Source organism: Homo sapiens, chromosome 3 (assembly GCF_000001405.40).
Source record: "Homo sapiens chromosome 3, GRCh38.p14 Primary Assembly".
Taxonomy (NCBI): Eukaryota; Metazoa; Chordata; class Mammalia; order Primates; family Hominidae; genus Homo; species Homo sapiens.
Window position 1 is genome coordinate 10272766 of NC_000003.12, and position 22544 is coordinate 10295309.

The following is a 22544-nucleotide window of genomic DNA, read 5'->3' on the forward strand; positions in this document are numbered from 1 at the left end:
GACTCATGCCTGTAATCCCAGCACTTTGGGAGGCCAAGGCGAGCGGATCACCTGAGGCCAGGAGTTGGAGACCAGCCTGGCCAACATGGTGAAACCCTATCTCTACCAAAAAAAAAAAAAAAAATTAGCTGGGTGTGATGGTACATGCCTGGGGTCCCAGCTACTCAGGAGGCTGAGGCAGGAGGATTGCTTGAGCCTGGGAGGTTGAGCTGCAGTGACCCATGATTATGCTCCAGCCTGGGTGACAGAGTGAGACCCTGTCTCAAGACAAAATTATCAGGGTCTCAGGTCTGCACTTAAAGGTCCATGGGGCGACCTGCACAACAAACTGAACTAGAAGCGATAGGCATAGGGGGATAAACACAGTCTTGAAGATGTCATTTGGCTTGGTGAGATTTGACTCAAGACTGGAAGATAATGAGTCTGAGGAGTTGCTGGCTGGGAGAGGGCTAAGCTGCCTGTAAAGGGGAGGAAGACTAGAAAATATTTGTCAACACCAGAGACTCCTAGGCTGGGTGGGGGATATGGACACTGTTTTGATGTAAATAAAAAATTTGGCACCCAAATGAGGTGAATGGTGGTGACTGGCAACTGCACCTAGTTGGATGTCAGTGCTGAGTTGCATTTACCTAAAAGAGCAGTTAGCAAGTTCTGGATGTGTCCTGCTGAATGTTTTATCTTGTGAAGGGAAGAAGAAGAACCTATAGAGGGCTGGGCGAGGTGGCTCACGCCTGTAATCCCAACACTTTGGGAGTCTGAGGCAGGAGATTGCTTGAGCCTAGGAGTTCAAGATGAGCCAAGGCAACATAGTGAGACCCCATCTTTATTACATTAAAAAAAAAAAAGAGCCTGTGGAAGGTCTGTATCTGGGCAAGATGATAGGGTGACAGACCCTGCTCATTATAGGAGAGTTTGGTTGATGTACCTAAAATTTTCTGGAAGGATTGGAAAATAGAGAAAAGCAAAACAATTGGGGAAAGAATGGGTAGTTATAGTTATTCTGCTGGTTAGAGCAAATTACTGTTAACGTTTTCTTTGTTGATCTGTGGTGTTTACAGATTAACTATGTAACTCATAAGAGTTAGATCCTGAATAGTTTGTGTGTAAGTTGCACATGTCAGCATCTGGGAGGGATGCCAGGGAGAGTAGACTGTCCTTCCCTACCCAGGCTGTATCTCTTTACTTGTGTTAAAGAGGAATTAATTAATTATTAAAGTAATAAATATGCAAGAGATGCCTGGGGCAACTCCCAGGAGAGACTAACTCTGGAATCCCTGGAAATAATGGATCAGTTAGGAAGCCAACCTTATGCAGGTAGAAGTGAGTAATTATACTGGGTAATAACTCATCTGTACTTCCTTCACTCCTGTTGTTTTTCAGCTGGGTTCCTGGTGAGGACAAATGCTGCAAATAGCTCCTGTCCAACCACAAGTTCCTGCATTCTAATGAGTTCTTCTTCCTTCTTAACATTTTTGAAATCTGGATGTGTTTCATGAAACATTATAAATGTAATGTTATTGTTCCTTGGAAAATTGCAAGGTACAATACAATTGCAAGGAACAGTTGCACAGTGGCTTGTCTTCCATGCACCTGTCGTAGGTTGGATGTGTGTGCTTGTGTTAAAGAAAGAAATTAGGAAATTAAATAGTTTTAAGTGTCTTTTCTACTCGTGAAATTTTCCCATTCATCAGCTATACTTTGAAAAATGTTTAACAGCTGTGTAATATTCTATCCTAAAGCTCTAATAGTTTATTTCACTACTCTGAGGGATAATTTTTTAGAGGCAGGAATGAAATGTTGGAATTGGAATCTCTTGAAACCTCTGCTGCCTGTGTGTAGGGGTCGGGGAGGGCAGATGAACAGCTTAGCAGATGCAAATAGGAGGGGCTCCAGCCACCTATTGATAGTGGAACTGGCCAGGCTTTAGATAAAGCCTCTGTCAAGCAGTCTATAATTTTGATGTCTGTGGTCATTTTCCTTTCTTTGAAAACACAGATTAAACAAAAGTTACATCAGAATTGGTATTGGCTTAGTGTTGCTATTTTGAGAAGAGGCAGTACAGGTGTTAGACTTGTAAATATTCTCAAGTGAATATCACCTGACTCAAATTACAAAAAGTATCTCATTGTTTGATGCTGAAAACATAAACACAAATTATGTTCCACAGTTGTAGAAACTACTCATGGAAACATTAATATGAGGTAATTTGCTTATAATGAATTAATTTTTTTTTTTTTTTTTTGGAGACAGTCTTGCTCTGTCCAGGCTGGAGTGCAGTGGCATGATCTCAGCTCACTGCAGCCTTTGCCTCCCAGGTTCAGGGGATTCTCCTGCCTCAGCCACCCAAGTAGCTGGGATTATAGGCACCTGCCACCACACCCAGCTAATTTTTGTATTTTTAGTAGAGACAGGGTTTCACCATGTTGGCCAGGCTTGTCTTGAACACCTGACCTCAAACCCGACTTGGCCTCCCAAAGTGCTGGGATTACAGGTGTGAGCCACCACGCCTGGTGAATTAATACTTTTCTTTGTTCTAAACCTGGGCTCGTTAGAGGAAAGAACAGGTCCTAACTCTACTTTTTTCATTTAAATTAACAATAGTGAAGATTTAAAAGTGGGTAGTGTTATAAAGAGTAAAGTATATTTGTAGTTATTGACCTGCGAGGATACGCGATTTTGATTGAGTAAAGGAAGCAAATTGGCCGGGCATGGCGGCTCATGCCTGTAATCCCAGCACTTTGGGAGGCTGAGGCGGGCAGATCAGTTGAGGTTAGTTTGAGACCAGCCTGACCAACATGGCGAAACCCCATCTCTACAAACAAATACAGAAATTAGCCAGGCAAGGTGGTGCCTGCCTGTAATACCAGCTACGCGGGAGGCTGAGGCAGGAGAATCGCTTGAACCCAGGAGGTGGAGGCTGAAGTGAGCTGCAATTGCACCACTACACTCCAGCCTGGGCGACAGAGCAAGATTCGGTCTCAAAAAAACAAAACAAAACAAAACAAAAAAAAACAAAGCAAGTTGTAGAAAATAAGTGTAGTATTTGTTTCTTTAACAAATATTTGAGTACCTTCTGAGAGCCAGGCACCTTGCTGGAGATGCACACAAACACCACGCCCTGCCGTCCCCAACAGCTCTGCATAGGAGAGGTCTGGAAGTTGGTATCTCTTGAGAGCGGAGGTGGGGACAGTGAGGTGAGGGACATTAACTTTGCGCTTTATGTTCTTGATCCCTGCCCTGCCCCTGCCACCCCAGGTCGGCATCATATAGTGGTTACTGTGTGGAATGCCAGGGTTCAAGTTTGGATCCTGGTGCTATAGCTGCTGGCTGCAAGTTAACTTGCCCTCACTGCATGCTGCGCAGACAGCAGCACCTGCCTCAGGGTGGTTGTGAGGACTGCAGGTTATGATAGACGTGCAGTGCTTTGGGCACTACCTGGCTCTATTGTAAGTGACCAATAATCATTAGCTATTATTACATTATATAGTTAAAAAAAGAGAGACACAGGGGGTGCCTGCTGGACTGGGCGTTCCAGAGGTGATGGACTTCTGAAGTGCTGCTAACCAACAGGGGTTGTCGCTGTGTCCTCTCCTAGGTATTTGAGAGACAGCTGCAGCTGGCTGTGTCTCTAAAGAAGCCCTTGGTGATCCACTGCCGAGAAGCTGATGAAGATCTGCTAGAAATCATGAAAAAGTTTGTGCCCCCTGACTACAAGATCCATAGGTTAGAAGACTGGAACTTCAGCGGGCAAATGAAAGAAACACTTCCTCTGTCAAGTTGATGAGGACAGCAATGATCGTATTCTGTCATTATACACTATCTATTCTTTTTTTTTTTTTTCGAGACGGAATCTCACCCTGTCGCCCAGGCTGGAGTGTAGTAGTGCAATTTCAGCTCACTGCAACCTCTGCCTCCCGGGTTCAAACAATTCTCCTGCCTCAGCCTCCTGAGTAGCTGGGATTACCGGCACATGCCACCACGCCCAGCTAGTTTTTGTATTTTAAGTAGAGACGGGGTTTTGCCATGTTGGCCAGGCTGGTCCCGAACTCCTGACCTCGTGATCTGCCTGCCTCGGCCTCCCAAAGTGCTGGGATTATAGGCGTGAGCCACCGTGCCCGGCCTATACACTATCTTTTCTAAAGAATTAACTATTAGGTTAAACCACTTGAAATTTCTCATATTTGACCTTTTTTTTTTTTTTTGCTCACAAAATAGTAACTTCGTATGGTTTGAACTAATAACCCTAAATCACCAGTGAGCACAAGGGGCCTTTTGTGCCCCCATCCTGGGGATGGGCAGAAATGGAGTTTCAGTTCTCAGCAGTGAGGATTGCTGATCTTGAGAGGTTGCTGTGGGGTGTGGTGGCTTAGCACACAGAGCATCTTAGGGTACTTGAAAGGACATTTTCTTTCCTCTTTTGAACTTGAAAGCTCCTTTCTCCCCAGTTATGAAAATCAAGGTCATGTTTTATCAGAATGGCATCTATGGGTGCTTAAGTTCAGTTTGGTAAACTCTCTGAACTTCTGAACTCTTGCCACGTGTAGGTCCTGGGCTTTGGCTTGCCTCTGGGGACATCTGGAGGTGCTGCCAGGAGACAGGTTGGATGGTGGCTTCTGCCTACATAGCATGTGGGACTGGGTGGTCATAGGTGCTGTGGGAGCCACAGCAGGGGCCCATTATCATAGCCCAGCCAGAAGACTCAGGAGGTGATGCCTGGCCGGCTCCTTAAAGATGGTTGAGAGGGGTTGGCTGAATAACAAGGACTCTAGCACCCAAATCGGGTCTTGTCAGATGGCAGAAAAAGGAGGATGGGGCTGTCAGGGCCTTTGGGTACCTAAGCAGAATGAGTGAAGCCTCTGACCCCTGGCTGCTGCACACACCAATGATGAGGCAGTCAGTTGGCTTTTCTGGGTCGGTTGGTTTTTCATTACTTCATTTTGGGCTAACTTTGAAGGAAATGTAATGGTGGCTGGTAGGCCAGGGCTAAGGTGACCCAACGAGGTGGTATTGCAGGAGGAGGCCCTAAATTTACAGATTGGTAACTATATATATGGCACCAAGAACATGAACAGGTATCAGATTAAGAAAATCCACCTGTAGTTCGACTCCCCAGTATTTTGTTAGATTTCCTTTCAGTTCATTTGACTACTTGGGCATAGTTTTTATATGCTGTCGTTGTCATCATAGGGGCCACAGTTGTTGATTTTGCTCCTCTTCAGTGTTAGAAGCATTTCCTATCCCAGTGTGTTCTCTGTGGTGGTCATCTCAGGGGACTGCAGAGCACTCTGTGGTGTGCGTGGTATCTCTGAGTGATCTCTGATCACTCACCAAGTGCCATCTCGGGGCTTCCTGTGTTGGAGCCAGCCCTTGTCTGTGTTTACTGTGGAGTCCTTCCCTAGGATGCAGTCTTTCCATTTCTGGGAATCATTGAAAAGGGGTGATGGGTGTGGGGGGAGCTGGGGGCTGCTGCAGAGGGGACTGTGAGCAGCCCTGATGTGGAGTTCTGTCTCCAGGCATTGCTTCACCGGCAGCTACCCGGTCATTGAGCCCCTGCTGAAGTACTTTCCCAACATGTCTGTGGGCTTCACGGCAGTGCTGACATACTCCTCTGCCTGGGAGGCCCGGGAAGCCTTGAGGCAGATCCCACTGGAGAGAATCATCGTGGAAACGGATGCTCCCTATTTCCTCCCTCGCCAGGTAAGGGGGTCTTCAGGCTGAGTGGAGGCACCGGAGGGAGAGGGTGGGGAGGTGGGTGGTCACCCTTACAAGGTTGGCAGGGCCAGAGCCCCAGTGACTTCCAGGTCCCATCCTGGGCTGTGTAGATGCCTCCTTGCTGTTACTCTGCAGAACCAAAAGTCTAGGGGGCTGAGAAGCTGAAGGGTAACCACTCTCTTCCAGGCAGTGCAAAGCCCTACCCTGTAGAGGGTAGTCCAAGGAAGCGTGGGACCCTGCTCACCCAGAGCCCCCATGACTAGGACTCTCCCTGCACCTGCAGGTAAAGGGGTCTCTACAGGGCAGCCCCAAAGAGGTCCTTGCTGGGGAAGGGACAGGGAGGGAGTTCTAGATTATGACTGTGCACACATGGCACAATGATGTTATGACCACTTGATGTCTTCCAGGTTCCCAAAAGCCTTTGCCAGTATGCCCACCCGGGCCTGGCCTTGCATACGGTCCGAGAGATTGCCAGAGTCAAAGATCAGCCACTCTCCCTCACCTTGGCTGCCTTGCGTGAGAACACCAGTCGCCTCTACAGTCTTTAAGCAGAGAAGGTACAGTCCTCGGGAGTCTCCTAGAAAAGGTCGTAAAACTCACATTCTGTATTTTTTAAAAACCAGGACAAGTCTTTTGTTGCATTTTGTTAATGTAAAGAATATAAACATAGTATGAGCATTAAGCCTGATTTGTTTTGAGTGACATGGTTTGGAACCTTCTTCTTTTTCTCTTCCACCCTCCAGGGCGACCAGCAGCCTGACAGAACACAGGCTGGCTTGAAGTCTGTGTCTCAGGTCGAGGATGTGTTTAGAGAGCTGATTGGAACACAGAAAACCAGGACAGGATGTTTTCCTCCAAGCGGGTCATAAGGCTTCAGCTTCTGGGTGGTGGGTGGGGTGGGGTGGGCATGGAATGAGGGGTATGGGGACTGCCTGTAATAGCACTGGGATTTTGCCTCCCAGCCAAAATGCTCCAGGGTAGGCAGCAAAGAAGAAAGAGTGCGATATGAGGGTACAGTGAGTTTGGCAGTCCAAATTCTGTTCTCTGCAGCCTGTTTTTGAGTAGTTGGTGAATAAAGTCACCCGCCTACTTGTCTAAGCACATGTGGGTGTGTAACTCAGTTCCTGGTTCTCGGTTCTAAAAACAGACTTCCAACTGGGAAACTTTTTGGGGGAAATTAACTGGACACCTATCTCGGAGGTTTATTTTCTTGCAACCAGTGAAGTCGTCCTCCTCCCTTCCCTGGATAACTCTTCAGTTTGACTGTCACTGTTCTGGTGTCAACTCCAGCGTCGGCACAGGCAGAAGGACTTCAGCTGCTGGTCTCATTGGTTCCACTGCCATTGATATGGGGGGGTGCAGAGGAGCACTCATTGTCCATGATGGAGATCCAGGACAGACTGGGGGACTCCGGGAAGAGGCTTTCTTGGGGAAGAGGACCCCAAAGGAGGTACTTCCTCCTCACTGATGCCCTCAGGGCTGCTGTGTGGGTGTGTTAAGCTGATAAGGTTCAGTTTGCGGCGGAAACTACCTGCTAGTCTTGTGTCAGGGGCTGCCAGCCTCCTTTTGTTTCACTTTTGCCCCCTTCTTGGGAACATTTGACCAAAAATAATCCTCATTTCATCTTGTGTACAGTCCTTTGTGTACCCCGCCCAGGTTGAGAGGTGAATCAGCGTAATTCTCCGAAGCTCTGCTGGGCAGCTCAGCCATGTTACATTGTCTATGCAGAATAAGCAGGCCTGGTGTCTGCAAATGTACCAGTCCTTCTCCCGCATCTCCTGGGTGCCCCCTTGGCTTTGCCTCTCCTGTGTCCTGTCTTTCTGCGTTTTAGAAGTGAGAGCCTCTCCTTCACCTTTTGAGCAACTGAGTCATCTCAAGTCCTGAGCTCTGCTCTGCCGCCTGCTGGTGCCTTGTAAAGGTATACTCGTTACAGGCCCTAGAGGTTCTAATGGTCCAGGGTTAAGTGAGAGGAGACTGTACTTTGTTTCAAAGGATCCTTCACCCTGATCTGCAGTGAGGTGGATAGATCACCTGGAGTCCCTCGTCTGTGGTCTTGGAGGCTTAAATTGTAAAATACATCCCTTATGGAATCCTAAATTCCTCTAGGTGTTTTTGGAAGGCGCATTTGAGCCTTGTGAGCTAAAATGGAATGGATTTAATATTTCCTATCTGGCATTTCCATCTTGCCCCTGGTACACAAGTCACTGGCCTGGAACTCAGCCTTGATTCACTGTCCGTCTTCACGGATTAGCTGTGCTGTTATGTTGTCTGTGCTGCAGATTGGCCCATGTGGGAAGTCGGGGGGGACCTGATTTCCTGCTTGGAAGACTTGGGGGACTGCCGAGCATATCAAAGTGTTTATAGTCACCAAGTGAACTGCAGCACAACCATCTCCTCTCCAGCAAGCCCTGAAGTCAGTAGTGCCTGCAGGTGAAACCAACCAGCCCTGTGTTAGAGGAGGAAAAGCGGAGATGACATGGAAGTCTCCAAGCCTGTGCCATCCACCTGCCAAGGAAAAGCACAAGGTGCTATCTACTTTTCTCTCTAGGATTTAGATTATCATTTATGTGCTGTTGCACAGTGAAACCTCACCTGTGTGGGCGTGAAAGCTGATTGGCATTGTTTTTGATTCAGCTTTTTGGATGGCTAATTGTTTTCACTGTGCTGTGGGAATGCCTCTGTATTTTTTCCCCTCTTTGGCCATCTTTTTCTGAAAATAAAGTGATGGATCCTCTAGCCAACCCAGTCTCTCCGTGTTTGTATAGACTTACCTGAGTGATGCAGTGGTTTAGTCTGGTTGTTGGCCAGCATTGTAACCCAAGAATCCAGGTAGCTGGAGACTTTTTTTCTTTCTTTTTTTTTTTTTTTTGAGAAGGAGTCTTGCTCTTTTGCCCAGGCCAGACTGCAGTGGCACTATCTCGGCTCACTGCAAGCTCCGCCTCCTGGGTTCACGCCATTCTCATGCCTCAGCCTCCCAAGTAGCTGGGATTACAGGTGCCTGCCACCGTGCCCGGCTAATTTTTTGTATTTTTAGTAGAGACGGGGTTTCACCGTGTTAACCAAGATGGTCTCGATCTCCTGACCTCGTGATCCACCTGCCTCGGCCTCCCAAAGTGCTAGGATTACAGGCGTGAGCCACCGCGCCCGGCCAGCTGGAGACTTTCTTGAGTATCTATGTGGCTCTCTGTAAAATTAAACTGCATATAAGAATTCTTAAAGTTCGGCCGGGCATGGTGGCTCACTTCTGTAATCCCAGCACTTTGGGAGGCCAGGGCGGACAGATCACTTGAGGTTAGGAGTTCGAGACCAAGCTGGCCAACATGGTGAAACCCTATTTCTACTAAAAATACAAAAACTAGCTGGGTGGGGTGGCACGCGCCTGTAGTCCCAGCTATTCGGGAGGCTTAAGCTGAAGAATCACTTGAACCCGGGAGGTGGAGGTTGCAGTGAGCCAAGATCGCAGCACTGTACCCCAGCCTGGGTGACAGAGCGAGACTCTGTCTTTCCCCTCCCCCCGCCTCCCCCCAGAAAAGAATTCTTAAAGTTCTACAGCCTTAGAGTGTTAAGTAATTTTACTGTCTGGGAACTCAGATGCACTGCTTCTTTCTGACCTATGTAGGTACTTTCTTTTCTTTTTTTTTTGTTTTTTTTTTGTTTCCAGCTCAAGGCTGTAGGAGGAAGAAAAATCTAGTCCCTGGGGGTACTGATGAATCAGTTGGATGGTGGGCGTTGGACTGTGAATTCCTGATGCCTCTGGGTAAACTCTGGAGGAAATTCTGTTTCATTACTTGCACTCAGCCCTCCTATTTTGTACTAAGGTATTCTTGAATACAAGTGCACCGGCCAAAAAAGTAAACTTACGCATAAAAAGAAAGGCTCTCTTCCTTCCAAGAATGCTGAACACCTTTGAAGTCTCTGTTGCTGCCTCATCTTTTAGATACAATCATTGATTATGTATTTTTGGCATCGTCCTGAACTTTGTTTCATTTCCTTCACAGTTGAATGTGCAGTTGGCTTTGTCCACTCAGTGATGGTCCTTGTGACTGTTCTTGGCTTTTCTGTTGTTTTTCCATCTTTCTATAGGAAGCTTGAGACCGATACTCATCGTTTGCTTTCAGCACCTTAATTTTGCTTTGTTCATTTTTGTAAAGTAAGGGCAAATGGCCACCGGAATGTACAGTGATTAAAGAAGCAAACTCTGTCAAAGATGGTGATTAGTGGCCAGCCAGTCCCTCTCAGGATCACTGTATTAAAAAGTGCTCATTTGCCAGTGACATTTTTTTTTGGTTTTGGTTTTTTTTTTTTTTTTTTTTTTTGAGACTGAGTGTCACTCTGTCGCCCAGGCTGGAATGCAGTGGCCTGATCTCAGCTCACTGCAACCTCCACCTCCCAGGTTCAAGTGATTCTCGTGCCTCAGCCTTCTGAGTAGCTGGGACTACAGGCGCCCAATACCATGACTGGCTAATTTTTTTTTTTTTAAATTTTAAGTAGAGATGAGATTTTGCCATGTTGGCCTGTTTGGCCTTATACTCCTCATCTCAGGTGATCCACCTGCCTCGGCCCCCCAAATGCCAGTGACATTTGTAGGTGGATTCAGATTAAGGTGGGTAGCTTAGTTGAGGCGTCTCAACCCTTTTCTGTGCACTCTCTCAAGATGATTTCTGAACACACAACTATAAGTGCATGAGAACTTAAATACGTGTGCTCTTATGCTAATTATACACAAAGTAAAAGTTTTTTCACAAGGAGAATTTTTTTCTCCAGCAAATAGCTCGCTCACCCTAGGGGTACATACACCCCACTTTAGAGACCCTCAAGTTACAGTGGTATCATTAAACGATCCATAAAGGAGTGGGTTTAAGAAAGCTGATACAGGAACATGTTTGAAATAATACATTTTCTCAAGGGTGTCCTCCAACCATTTTCTTTGATAAATTATATTTCTGCCCATTGTTGACTTGAAATTGTCCTCACCCCTCTACCAAGTTCACCCAGTGTATTCTGAAGGAAAATGAATGAATATGGAAACCTCTCTCATCCTAGGCAGTAGAGCGAGGGAAGCTGCACTGGCTGAGAGGCTGTGGAACCGGATGAAAAAGCAGCCCCTGAGTCCTGTGGCGTTGGCTGTGAGTCGGCCACGTGCTTGCTGTGTGCTTTAGGAAAGTTACTTAATTTCTCTGAGCTTTAGTTTTCTCCCTCATAAGTAGGCTTGCTGTGAAAATGAAGTGAAATCACATTAATCTGCATGAGCATTTAACACGGTGCCTGGTGTACATCAGGGGTGTGACAGTGAGTGCTGGCTGCTGTAGTAATTGAATGCTTAGCTACGTGCCGGGCCCTTTGCCAGCTACAGCTCATGTGAGACCTCATGTTCAGTCTTGGCAGTAACCCAGCAAGGTAGGCATTTTACATGTGAGGAGCCTGAGAAATTCAGTCTTGGCCTGGATCACAGAGCTGGTATCCAAATTCAGGTCCGAGGCCAAAGCCCAGATCTTTGCACTACACCTTGTTGCCTGGCACAGGTGAGAGTGCCCAGCCCATAGTGGGTGCGCAATATCTGTTTCTATTTGAATGACCCAGGCAGGCGGTTAATAATGCTTGTGATTTCTTTGAGAGAGAAGTAAGTTCTTGTCTTTGGTGGGGGAAGCATCAGGTGACCAGCATTTGTCCAGAGCCTGGTACCCATCCTCTCCCAAGCCCAATCAGTGGTGCTTTCTCAAAAAGAAACCATCTCCTGACCACTTTGGCCATATTGGGCCTTTGCTCCTCTTCTGTAGCTATTGATAAGAGGGCTGTGGGCAGTTAGTGATAATCAAGGTCGTATCCCAACTAAGTGACAGAGCTGAGACAGTTAAGTTCCAGGACAAGTGTGTTGATCTCTGTACCCACTTGTGCCAGGTGCCTGGGGAGGTAGGGGCATGGCTGTCTGAGGGTGGAGGGGTGAGTAGGGGGCCTGCAGTGTGCTGTGACGCCTGGGAAGGGGATTCTAAGCCATTTCCCATCAGCCGTTTACTAAGTAGCCTGGGGATCTTGTTAAAATGCAGATCCTGATAGATTAGGGCTGGGGTGCTGCCCAAGATTCTACATTTCTAAGAGTCCCTGGATGACGGTGGCATTCACAGACCACAGCTTCTATGTGAGGGAGAGCAGTTGGGTTTCTGTCTGCCTGCCGCACCTGATCAGTAGTTAGTGCCTGCATGTGTGGCGGCCAGAATTTTACTTGGGGAGACGCTCGGCTCCTAGCACCCTCTGTGGTAGGGGTTTTCCAGAGTGTGGGCATTACCCCAACTGTCTCTGCAGACGGCTTCCTGCATGTTTCCCACAAGCGCTCAGATGGCTGAATTGGCAAGTCTGTGGTGCTGCTCTTTGGGGCCACCTCGTTCTTTGCCTTTCCCTCCCCTTAGCGATGTGTCCCATCCGTTGCCTACAGTCAAGTCAGTCCACATGTTTAGGCTAAGGTGGGCATGACCGAGTGGCCTTCCCCCGGGAAGACCAGTGTCGTAACTGGAATTAAGTTGTGGAACATAAGAGTCAAGGCTCGTGTCTGCTGTGAACTGGAGTTGAGGGAATGTTTGGGGATCCCACCTGGTATCAGTAAGGGAACCATGGCGACGGCCAGCCTTGCCCATGTGAGGCATTTGCTTTGTCAGGCCTTCTCAGTAGTGGAGAAGGGAGGAAGGAGAATGCAGCTCTTTCAGTGCTGTCTAGCAGTGCCCAAGAGCCGTGATTGGGCACCTCACTTAACGTCTAACTTCAGATTCACTCTTGGGCATTCCTGTCTTCCTCTCCAATCTTGAATGGATGTTGGCTTCGATAATGTCATCCTGAAGTTTCTTTGTCCACACAGCCCTGGCTGGTTGTTAATAAGCTGTTAATGCAGCCTTGCACTCAGGAAGCCCTGATGTTTAAAGGAACTGTGTCTTTGTTCTTCCTCTCTTCCCTCTTTCTCTTAGTCCCACTTTATCTCTTCTTTCTCTTCCTCTCCCTCCTCCTTTTCCCCTCTCCCTCCTACTCTCCCCCTTTCTCTCCTCCTTCTCTAAGAAACCCAGTCTTAATTCCACACAATGCATGCACATGCAGTAGCTTCTCTGCTTGAGTGAGCTGGTGTGATTAGGTTTTCTAAACATGCACATTGGCCTTGCTACTTGTCCTTTTATTCCCTTCCCACAGACCATAAACCAAGAATTATTTTTATTTGTATTATTTTGATTTTTTTAAAGTAAAATATTAACTTTTCCTCTTTGAAATAAATTCCCATTTGGAACATCAGCATACAGTTTGAACATTTATTCGCCTCCTGAGCTTGTACAACAGTCGTGGGAGTTGCTGCAGAAGCAAGCGAAAAGCCAGATGAGCGCTTCTAAACTTAGAGAGAGGTGAGTAAGGCTTGTGGGCGATCACTTGTCGGCTGGGGCCTCTGGAAAGCAAGAGGTTGAGTAAGAATGCTGGGTGCACCGTCCTGCTAGTGCTTTTCTTCCACGGTGGTGAGATTGGAGGTGGGATGTAATGGTGGGGGTTGTGGGGAAGCACTGGCCTTGGAGTCAGAGGGCGGCACTCAAGTGTGGACTGTTGTGCCCTGGGCAAGTCACCTCAAAGCTCTGAGTCTTGGTTTCCTCGTTTGCACAGCGGGGTGAATGCTACCCCTGCTGTTCCCCAGGGGTGACGGGTCACCGCCTTGGTGAGGACAGTGCTTTGCAGATGTGCAGGTGTTTCTGCCACCTCAATCAGTTGGGCGGTTTCTTTTTTTTCTTTTACAAGGTGAGGGGATTCAAAGCAAACCCTTTGCTTAACTCAGGAAGCTCTAATATTTGAAGGAACTGCTTAACAGGCTGCAGAACCTGTTCTGAGTGCTATTTTGGCACCAATTCCTTTTTGTTTGTGGAGTAAAGTTACGCAGTGAAGACGGTGTAACACCAAATAATTGTAGACTCTCACAATAGGTAAAATAGCTCCATTTTACAGTTAAGGAAGCTGAGGTTCAACTGAGGCCCCAAAGCTAGTTAATGTACTAGTTCTTAGAACATTCTTTGAACACAAAGACTATGATGAACTCCCTTCTGAGCCACTCACAAATACTAGCCAACCACTATCCTGCAGATCTTTGGGAAAGGGAAATTAGAAGTTCTTTTGGAGAGGCAGAGGTTGGGGAAAACTCATCACCCACAGAGTGAACTCCCATGTGGGGCTGCAAGGAAACCGAGCAAACCCAGTCCAGGCAGGACTCACCTTTGGCCTCTTCCCAGAGGATGTCCTGAAGAAACTTCCCCAGGGCCTGGCTGTGCTGCTGGTACTGAACCCCTGACAGCTTGATTCCAACATCAAAGGGGGCGTTGAACTAGGAGGCAGGGCAGGGAGGACCCAGGAGATGTCAGAGGTCATGCCCATCCCCATCTCAAAGGGGGCTCTGGGCTCTCTGCCTCTCTTCAGGAGTGGAGAGGGAGAATGGCCTTTGGGCCCCAGCAGGGACTGCTGAGTGACACCTCAGCCAGGTTCTCTTCCTTTCTCAGGACCACAGCTCACCTTCCCACTCACCATCTTTCAGACACTTACCTTGCACTCTCATGCCTCTCAGCCTTAGCCTCTAATGGGATTGCTGATAAAAGCTGTGGTGCCCCCTAGTGTGAGATTTTTTTTCTCCCTTGCAGTTTTGAAGACAAAAGGTTGAGTCACCAATGGCAGCATTTCAGGCCCTGGCAGGGGGTCTGCCCAGCATTCTCAGCACTGGCCTGCTGGCCTTCTATTCCTTCCCTGCTCCCAGCTCTTTCTCCTTTCTCTCTTGTCTGTTTCTTCTCCTTTTTCTCCTTCCCTAGGTATTTTTTCTCTCATATGCATAGACCTTTCTTTGATGCCTGGAAAATCAAAAGGAAGTTGATGTTTTCCTAGAAAGAGGCTCTGAGCCAAGTCCTTTCTGTGCTTCCATTTCTTCCCCTCTACAGGGAGAGCGCCTCATCTCTTCCATTTTCCAGGTATTCCTGAGATGATTTATTGGAGCTCAAAGCTTTGGGTAAGTGGGAAGGAGCTCTGCTGCAGCCACATGGCAGACTTTCCTTGAGAGCAGAGATTGTCTCTGCCAGTGGCTACCTCGGTGCCTGGCCATATTGGGCACTGACTTATCTGAGTCAGGGAAGGATCTTAGTGCTGGGTCATTTGGTCCTCACAGTAGAAGCCCAAGGAGTTGGAGGCCAAGGACTAGAATGCAGGACTTTTAAACCCACTTGGCCCTGAAAACTGCTTTAGTCCTATTGCCCTTCCTCTGTGTGAGGCCAGGCGTCCTCAGTGCCTCCCTGTGGGGTAGGCGCTACCACTGTGCCCATTTTACAGGTGAGGACAGAGGCGCAGAGAAGCTATTAACCAATAGCTATGCGTTCCCTTTTCGAAATCTCCCTCCCCTTAACTCCACCATGAAGGTGGACCCAGTGGGGAATGACATGATTGAATTTTTTTTTTTTTTTTTTTTTTTTTTTAAGGAGAGTTGGGGCCTTCCATTCCCTCCAGTAAATACTTGTTTTTCTTCCACCGCTGAGGCAAATGCGGGGTGGCTGATCACCTGGCAGACATCTTAGGAAACAGGAGCACCGGTCTGGGAAACTGCTGGCCTGGCCTAACACCTGGCGCTGTGGTGCAGGCAAGTGAGTGGTGACACAGTGCTGGCTGGTGGGGGGCAGCTTCCCTCCTGGCCTCAGTGGCCCATCTGTTCAATGGGAGTGGGACTTGGTCTCCAAAGTCTTCTACTCTGAAACTTGATTTTGGGAGGGAAACGTTTGGGGGGAGGTAGAGGGGCCTGAGATGAGAGAGGTGGGTGGGACACTCGGTTGTGAGGGGTTTGGTAGTGGGGCGCTCCAGGTCTCTGCAGCCACTCCTCTTCTGGCAGCCCCAACACCCCCCAGGCGTTTGACTTCTGGTTCCAGCCAAGGCAGTGTGGGTCACATGCTCCAAGGCTAGCTTTCACAGAAACTGCAAAGTTCCCGCTGTACCAGCCCCACCTTGCGTCGTCAGCCACCAAGACCTCTTTCTCATCTGGGTACTGGGCAGCTCCTCTGGCTGGGATGACCATGTGTGGAGCTAGCCGTCTCACCAGCAAAATATCCTGGTTTTGGCCTAAGGGTATGCAGCTCTTTCAGATGAGAATCTAGTGGATCCCACCGTGTAGAGGAAAGGTCTGAACACCGCCAGGTGCTGGTGAGGATGAAAGCGAGCAGGGGCTGGGGGAGCTTCCGACGGCTTTATTCCTCGACTGGAGAAGAGTATGGTAAACAGGCAGGCAGAGGCCAAGGCGGGCACATTTCACTCCTCTGGAAGGAAGAGGCCTCCCCTGGGCCACTGTGCGCTGTCTCTGTCCATCAGACCAGTGAGGAGGAAGAGGGCTTGGGGACTGGAGTCAGCCCTGACCTTGTGTCGCGTCCCTTCCACACACCGCTGTGGTACCTTGGGCAAGTGAGTTCACCTCTGAACTGTTCCTTGGCTCTAAAGTGGGAGTAATGCCAGCCCTGCTTACCTCACAGGTTGTCGTAGGGAGGAGGTGGGGCAGTTAGAGGTGAAGTTGGTATCCTCGGGCACAGCGTCTAATAGCTGCCATTATTAAGTGCTACCTTGGGGGAATCCTGCCTTAGCTGCGAAATGGTGTCACCAACCAAATATTTAGAAGAAACCATTCCCTGAACCACAGCCACAGGAAGGTTGCATAGAAAACCCCGTAAAATCCTTTACTCCCTCCTCCTCTCCATCCTTGGGTTGTCTTAACTTTCTCCTTGCCCCACGCACGATTTGTCAGAGCACATCACCCACACCTGCCCCCTCCTTGCCTCCAGGCGAGGTGAGTGGGTGCCGGAGCCTGGGCTGGCGCCAGCCCTCCCATCCAGGGTGCTGTTCGGAAGCACTCCACCCCACAGTCCAGGCCCTGGAAGCCCCTGAGTAAAACATGGTTTTCTGCAGAGCAACATCTTCAGTCTGGGCCTGCCGTTTATTTCTGGGTGTCTTTGTCTCTGGGCACTGTATTTTCTGTCCCCTTTGAGTCGCCTGGAGGCTCTGGCACCCTCTCTCCTCTGCCCAGGCTCCTTCCGTCCCTATTCTGTTGTAGCAAAGTTACTTCTTCTAGATATTTTTCTCTTAATGGGTAAAGACCTCACAGAGCCCAGGGCAGAGCTCAACTCCTGTGGTACTGGTTTTATAGTTCTGGGGAGCTTGTAGTTGGGACCCTGTTCACTGCCACCTCTCCCTGCCCTCCCTCTCCCCTGACCCCACCCTCCTCGCTGCCACAGAAGCATAAAACTGCAGAGGTACCGACCCGGACTTCCAGTTCATCCTCTGCCCCTTCTGCTTGACCTCCATCTTCCGGGCGGAGCCAGCCTGCTAGAGCTCGGGGCTGCAGCTTGGCTGGTGGCTTCTTCGACTCCTTTCTCTGCTGGAAGGGGGAAACAGTCTGTTTAGGACTCTAAGCCCCCATGTCCTTCCAGAAACAGTGAGGTCAGACCCAGAGTCCTTTGTGCTCTGGGAGAAGACTGAAGCCCAGAGATGGCGCTGCTGCTCCAGGTCACAGAGCTGGTTGCTAAGTGGCAGGGCTGGAACAACATGTGGGGCTTTGTGGGGAGGTCTCACCTGGACTCTCTGGTGTTCAGGGCTCAGGAAGCTGGAGCCTGCCATGGCCAAGTCCAGCCAGAGCATGCCGAGGAGCAGGAGGCTGCAGACGGTCCCTGGGGAGGGCATGGCCTCAGCTGGGTTGCAGACAGGTGGGCCTGGGGGAGAGAGGGTCTCCAGGCAGCTGCCTCCCCTTCTCATGTGCCTCTGAGCTTGCTCAGGTAGGAGCCCAGCAGATGGCGTGAAGGGCTTTACCATCTGGGGTCCTGACTGCTGTGTAGAGAGGACCCCCGCTTCCACCTCCCAAGGTAGAAGATGATGGATGTGTGTTCTCTTCTCCAAGGCCGTTCAGGGCAGAACACCTGGCAGCAGGACTTGATAGGGGCTGGGGGTCCTCCCCGGTGCCTTTTGTCCCAGGCTCTGAGAGCTCATGGCGAGTCTTTTCATGAGGAGGGAGGAAGCTGAACCAGCAAGGGCCCCAGGGCACTCAGCAGGGAGGGGGTTAGAGGTAGCTCCTAAATGAAGCTCTGTCTTCCAGCCAGACAGTCCGACATCCCCCGTGTTTAGAGGGGACTCCTGAGGCCCAGAGAGGTTAAACGGACGGGCAGCAGTCACGGACAATAAACCTGTCAGCAAACGCACACGGAGAGTAGAGAGAGCTTACCTGCAGTTCCTGGCGGAGGTGGTGCCTGGTGGCTGTCAGGTCCTTATATAGGATGACTGGCGTTTGTTCTAAACCAGCAACCCCATCCCAGAGGTGGCCTAGCTTCCGTGGGGCTGATGTACATTCCTTGGGAACTAAAAATGTTCTTGTCCTCTGGGTAGAAGTCAACAGTGGAGGTCAGATGCCCTGCGGAATTGCTGGGTTGGCGAGGGAAGAAGCATGTGCTCCAGCTGTCCCTGGAACACGGTGGCGGGGTGCCCCAAGTGGGCATGGCCCTGGTGGAGGAGGGAGGGAGGAGAGTGGCTCTGGGGTCTGGGTGCAGCTTTGTTGCTGTGTGACCTTAGCTTACTCGCCCTTTCTCCCTGGGTAAAATGAGGCTGTCATCACTAGGAGAGCTCTGAGACCTCCCCAGTCCAGCGCCCCGTTGTTTCCCATGTGCTGTTGCTGCTCTGGCCTCTGTGAGCCCCGGGAGTCCGCAGGGAGCCAGGCTGGTGATTCTACACCTTCCCGAGGAGGAGTCCCACCTCCCGGTTGAGCAGACTGCTCCTGATCATCCTCTCCAGAGAGTGGGTGTGGGGATAACTTCAGCCAGTGGCTATGCTTCAGTCATTTCTGCCAGGTGTGACATGACTGCCTGGCCTGGCGTTTTTTCACATAGCAGCTTGCCTTGCCTCCCTCCAGCAGCTTTGGTCCCTATTTTAGCGGATGCCTCTTCTGAGAGGGAAGTGCATTGGACCTGGAGGTGGAAGATCTACGCTTAGCACGGGCCTGGCTCCTCTCTCATTGACTGGCCTTACGCCGACCACAAATAATTCCCCTTACCCAGAGTCTTTGAGGGTGAAATGAGGCGATGGGGGGAAAGTGGCTTCTAACCTGTGAAACACCCTGCAGATGACAATGGTTTCATACCAGGCCCATAGGACTTCCCAGCATAGGCCAAGGCCACTGCCTCATTTCCCTCGGCCCCAGGAATTTCTTCCTTTCTGGAGTGCTTCATCCAACTGGGTGCCCAGGCAGGAACCCCTAAGGGCCAATGAGTTGTCTGCAGAGAAGTTCTAGCAGTTCAGGAGAGGAGCTCACCTTAGGCTGGGGCTTGCGGCAGGGATGTTAGCAAAGGCTCCAGGAAAGAGGCCTGTGGTGAACTCGGGGCAGGGCTTTGGAGGGAGGGCTTTGCGGCAAGCAGAGGGGAGGTGAAGGCGTGGGTAGAGTACATCAGGGCAGCATGGAGAAGGCTGGGTGGCTTGGGGGAGGGTGGCGATGGGGTCATAACAAAAACATAAGAAGGTGGTTTGGGGCCAGGTGATGGATGCCTTGGGAACTGCTAGCCCAAGAAGTTTGGGCTTTTTTTGCAGGAGGGCAGCCACTGAGGATTCTTGAGGAGAGAGAGACCATAGAATGAATGAAAGAGTTGGAAAGACTTTAAAGCTCTGGGAGGCTGAATCCTTTATTTCGCTGGAAGAAAAACTGAATGCCAAGAGGGCCTCACTTTCCCCAAAGCTATACAGCCATCAGGGGCAATGCTGGGATTCCCCCATGGATCTCTTGACTCCTAATACAGTGCTCTTTCTGATATGCCATCTGGCTCCATAATGAACATTGTGTTCCAGGAAAATCAGTCTGCGCTGAACAGGATGGAATTGGGGCAGGACGTCCAGTGAGGAGGACATTGAGGCAGTAGAGCAGTTGATTGCCGAATGACCACCTACCCTGACTTAAAAGATCAACCTCAGGGAGGATTGGAGCTTTCTAGAGTCTCTTGGGACAGCAGAAGCACAGGCCGGGTTGGACTGAATCTTTAAGTGGACATGAGGGACAAAGTACCTCCTGTTGGTAAACATCTCACCACCAACCCACTGTGGTGGCTAAAATCCCACCTTTAGTCCCAGCAACATATGAGCATGTCACCAGGAGGTCTTCACAGGCCTGTCTGCCACCTGAGTGTAGACATCTTTTGGCCCTGGAGCCCAGAGAGGCTGAATGTGGAGAGGGTGGAGAGAGGTCTGTAGTCCTCAGAGAAGACTTGCAGCTTTTTCAGAGCCACCAACCCATAAAAAAAAAAATCCCCAAACAGAAAAATCCTAACTGTGGTGACCAGGTACCTCCTGAGACATGAAGCCTCCACTTACCTGGACCCTGGAGGCCTCTCCGGGCACAGCTGCCAATGTTGATCTTAGATAAGACCACCAGCAAGTAAACATCCACTGTGCAAAGCTGTGTTATCTTTGGGGAACTGAAATGTCCCCTGGGAGTTGGAAACTCCCCTAGCCACATACCACAGAGTTGAGGAAGGAAGAGCTGATGGACGGAAGAACCATGGCGGGAGGAGTCATCCGGAAGCTACCTCGCTGCCCTGTCAGTTACGGAACAGAGGAGAGATGCCGGCTGGAGGACACAGCAAATTTGAACCAAGAGGAGCTTGGAGGAAGCCCGAGCGACCTGGAGGGGACTGGCTGACCTTCCTCATTCTTTTCAAGTGTGAATAATAACCAAGCCCAGTTTGGCAACTCCTTGAGGGTGAGGACGAAGCCCCATTCTCCTTTTTGGAACTTGGTGGGGCTCAGGAAGCAGGTTCTCTCCAGTCGGTGGCTTTCCTTTCTGTTGCGGGTCTCTTGAGGGCCTGCCTTCATGAAGGCACATGAGTGACTCATCATTTGTGAATTAATTGCTATATGTGAAGGGCATCTGAGAACAAATTATCTTCATAGACTTTTCATTATAATTTTATTTGTACTGATAATTAGTTGGTTTAGCAAGCTCTTTTTTCATAGATTTGGCTAAACTTCAGTCTGAAAGAGGCAAATTCTGGGGTTCTAGAAAGAGATTTTATTCTTTGATATAGGGCTATTTGGTGGGGTTGCTTTTTGTCCTAGTTGTAGCTTTTATAATTTCGAGATTCACATTTTGCAATAGAAATATACAGGCATACCTTGGAGGCATTACAGCTTTGGTCCCAGACCACAATGAAGCAAGTCACACGAATTTTGTTGGTTTCCCAGTAAATATAAAACGTATGCTGATACCATACTATAGTCTAAGTGTGCAACAGCATATGTCTAAATGAATATACATATATATTTTTTTGAGACAGGTTCTTGCTCTGTCACCCAGGCTGGAGTGCAGTGGCACTATCATGGCTCACTGCAGCCTCCACCTCCCTGGACTAAGATGATCCTCCCACCTCAGGCTCCCAAGTAGCTGGGACTACAGGTCACACCACCACACCCAGTTAATTTTTGTATTTTTTGTAGAGACAGAGTCTTGACATGTTGCCTAGGCTGGTCTTGAACTCCTGGCTTAAGTGATCTGCCTGACTTTGCCTCCCAAAGTGCTGGGATTACAGATGTGTAGTCTTTGAAATCCAGTGTGTGTTCTTACAGTGCATTTCAATTTGGACTAGCCATGTTTCAAATGCTCAGCAGCCACATGCGGCTCATTCTAGATAGGCGGCCATCGCTCTTAAATCCTCCCTGACCTTAGCCATGCTCTCTCATCCCTCCTCTTCGCCAAGCTCTGCCTCTCTCACTGGGGCTTCCCTAGCCTCCGGCCATCTTGGGGCCAAAGCTCTAACACTTTGCCTCTCTCGTGTCTTCTGTTCCCCTCCAGTGGCTTCTGCTTTCTGCCTTAAAATACACCCAGGTTCCTAATCCTGAAAACGTCTGTTGTGCACCGATCCCACCCTCCCCTCGTGTTACCATCTCCATTTCCTTCCCCTTTCCTTGTGTCCTCTTCTTTGCTGTGTCCTGGCCCCTCAAAACTTGACCTTGCCTCTCATCCCCACTGCTGTACTGAAACTGTTGTCTCAGCGTTGCTGATCATCCAGCCTTTTAGTCTATGGACCGCTAAGAGCCATAGGACGACCTCAGGGTGGGACGTGGCTTGGAGGGCCATCTCGTCTCAATTTCCAGATACAGACCTGTGTTGGGTTGTGTTGGATTCATGAGGAAAGCTTCATAAGTTTTATGCACGTTTATAAGACTCCATCCTTGGATTCTGATCCAGTAGCTCTGGCGTGGGGGCTTTAGAATCTGTTTCAAGTATCTCAGGTAATTTTGATTATAAATTACCAAGTATCCCAGGTAAATTTTGATTATAAATGCTTGCTTCCAGCAGAAAATATAAACATATGGAAGATGAAATCTTTCTCTCTGAATAACCCAATTCAGTTTCCACTCGTGAATATCTTATATAACCGTAGTACATTTATCAAAATTAAAACACCAGTGTTAGCACATTACTGTTAATCTCCAGACTATTTGTAAGTCACCAATTTTTCCATTGTCCCATCTGTTCTTCCTTTTCTTTCTCTTGTCATAACCACTTTTAGAGGGTTTTGAATGGTATCATTTTGTCTTCACCGTCGGCTTATTAGCTATACTGTACTGTTCTATTCTTTGAGTGGTTGCTCTAGGATTTACAAATATGACTTCAACATATTGCAGAATACCTTCAACAACTACGATATCCTTTCACAGATAGTGTAAGAACTGCACCACAGAATGCTTTCATTTCCCCACTTCTATTCTTTGTGATATTATTGTCACACATTTTATTTTTACTTAAGGTATGAGCCCCACAATGCATGTTAAATAGCCAA

At 49.0% G+C, this 22544-nt stretch overlaps 2 protein-coding genes, 2 long non-coding RNA genes and 1 other non-coding gene across 20 annotated transcripts in view, besides 7 other annotated features; 4 read left to right on the forward strand and 1 right to left on the reverse strand.

Moving 5' to 3' along the window:
* Window positions 1-8453, forward strand: part of TATDN2 (TatD DNase domain containing 2) — a 32760-nt gene extending 24307 nt beyond the window's left edge. Inside the window, exons 5-8 of the mRNA NM_014760.4 lie at window positions 3596-3723; window positions 5514-5697; window positions 6120-6298; window positions 6456-8453. Coding sequence (NP_055575.3) covers window positions 3596-3723; window positions 5514-5697; window positions 6120-6260 — 453 coding nt within the window. The 3' untranslated portion in view covers window positions 6261-6298; window positions 6456-8453. The remainder of the gene's footprint in view (window positions 1-3595; window positions 3724-5513; window positions 5698-6119; window positions 6299-6455) is intronic.
* On the forward strand, window positions 7586-7687 carry MIR12127 (microRNA 12127). Its single transcript, NR_162141.1, has one exon. It is a non-coding gene; the product is annotated as a microRNA 12127 (primary transcript).
* On the forward strand, window positions 8187-20684 carry GHRLOS (ghrelin opposite strand/antisense RNA). Of its 6 annotated transcripts, NR_073566.1 has the most exons (7): window positions 8187-8237; window positions 9374-9469; window positions 10756-10838; window positions 12983-13088; window positions 14649-14716; window positions 15180-15341; window positions 19303-20684. It is a non-coding gene; the product is annotated as a ghrelin opposite strand/antisense RNA (long non-coding RNA). The 6 variants fall into 6 exon arrangements; NR_024145.2 differs by lacking the exon at window positions 14649-14716 and having other exon boundaries at window positions 9374-9530; window positions 15180-15337; NR_073567.1 differs by lacking the exon at window positions 9374-9469 and having other exon boundaries at window positions 14523-14678; window positions 15180-15337.
* LINC00852 (long intergenic non-protein coding RNA 852) lies at window positions 11654-12981 on the forward strand. The gene has a single exon (NR_026829.1). It is a non-coding gene; the product is annotated as a long intergenic non-protein coding RNA 852 (long non-coding RNA).
* Window positions 12901-20182, reverse strand: GHRL (ghrelin and obestatin prepropeptide). Of its 11 annotated transcripts, NM_001302821.2 has the most exons (7): window positions 20077-20182; window positions 18475-18686; window positions 17951-18225; window positions 17308-17444; window positions 16997-17113; window positions 13939-14047; window positions 12901-13129 (listed from the first exon to the last, which is right to left on the reverse strand). In NM_001302821.2, exons 4-7 carry the CDS (start codon window positions 17413-17415, stop codon window positions 13110-13112), a joined length of 354 nt encoding a protein of 117 aa, NP_001289750.1. In that variant the 5' UTR covers window positions 17416-17444; window positions 17951-18225; window positions 18475-18686; window positions 20077-20182; the 3' UTR covers window positions 12901-13109. The 11 variants fall into 11 exon arrangements, 10 of the variants coding, with proteins under 10 accessions (NP_001289750.1, NP_001289753.1, NP_001289752.1 ...); NM_001302824.2 differs by lacking the exon at window positions 18475-18686 and having other exon boundaries at window positions 17951-18147; NM_001302823.2 differs by lacking the exon at window positions 18475-18686 and having other exon boundaries at window positions 16997-17110.
* Window positions 14220-14514: an enhancer, noted in NCBI's record as "tiled region #7129; K562 Activating non-DNase unmatched - State 18:Pol2". NCBI's record gives its function as "activates a minimal TATA promoter and a strong SV40 promoter by Sharpr-MPRA in K562 cells {active_cell/tissue: K562}" and the evidence as "EXISTENCE:reporter gene assay evidence [ECO:0000049][PMID:27701403]".
* Window positions 15380-15995: an enhancer, noted in NCBI's record as "H3K27ac-H3K4me1 hESC enhancer chr3:10329829-10330444 (GRCh37/hg19 assembly coordinates)". NCBI's record gives its function as "activates a minimal SCP1, AML or CMV promoter by ChIP-STARR-seq in naive H9 embryonic stem cells {active_cell/tissue: H9 hESC(naive)}" and the evidence as "EXISTENCE:reporter gene assay evidence [ECO:0000049][PMID:30033119]".
* Window positions 17826-18428: an enhancer, noted in NCBI's record as "H3K4me1 hESC enhancer chr3:10332275-10332877 (GRCh37/hg19 assembly coordinates)". NCBI's record gives its function as "activates a minimal SCP1, AML or CMV promoter by ChIP-STARR-seq in naive H9 embryonic stem cells {active_cell/tissue: H9 hESC(naive)}" and the evidence as "EXISTENCE:reporter gene assay evidence [ECO:0000049][PMID:30033119]".
* Window positions 19940-20009: an enhancer, noted in NCBI's record as "active region_19422". NCBI's record gives its function as "activates an Ori minimal core promoter by ATAC-STARR-seq in GM12878 lymphoblastoid cells {active_cell/tissue: GM12878}" and the evidence as "EXISTENCE:reporter gene assay evidence [ECO:0000049][PMID:35858748]".
* Window positions 20020-20269: an enhancer, noted in NCBI's record as "active region_19423". NCBI's record gives its function as "activates an Ori minimal core promoter by ATAC-STARR-seq in GM12878 lymphoblastoid cells {active_cell/tissue: GM12878}" and the evidence as "EXISTENCE:reporter gene assay evidence [ECO:0000049][PMID:35858748]".
* Window positions 20020-20374: a biological region, named in NCBI's record as "Sharpr-MPRA regulatory region 4342".
* Window positions 20080-20374: an enhancer, noted in NCBI's record as "tiled region #4342; HepG2 Activating DNase unmatched - State 5:Enh, and K562 Activating DNase matched - State 5:Enh". NCBI's record gives its function as "activates a minimal TATA promoter and a strong SV40 promoter by Sharpr-MPRA in HepG2 and K562 cells {active_cell/tissue: HepG2 | K562}" and the evidence as "EXISTENCE:reporter gene assay evidence [ECO:0000049][PMID:27701403]".

Coding starts and splice junctions, on each gene's coding strand:
- GHRL (NM_001302825.2), bottom strand. CDS start 17,415: ATGCCCTCCCCAGGGACCGTCTGCAGCCTCCTGCTCCTCGGCATGCTC. Junction 17,114..17,307: donor CTGAACACCAGAGAGTCCAG/GTGAGACCTCCC, acceptor TCCCCCTTCCAG/CAGAGAAAGGAGTCGAAGAA. Junction 14,048..16,996: donor AGGATGAACTGGAAGTCCGG/GTCGGTACCTCT, acceptor CCTGCCTCCTAG/TTCAACGCCCCCTTTGATGT.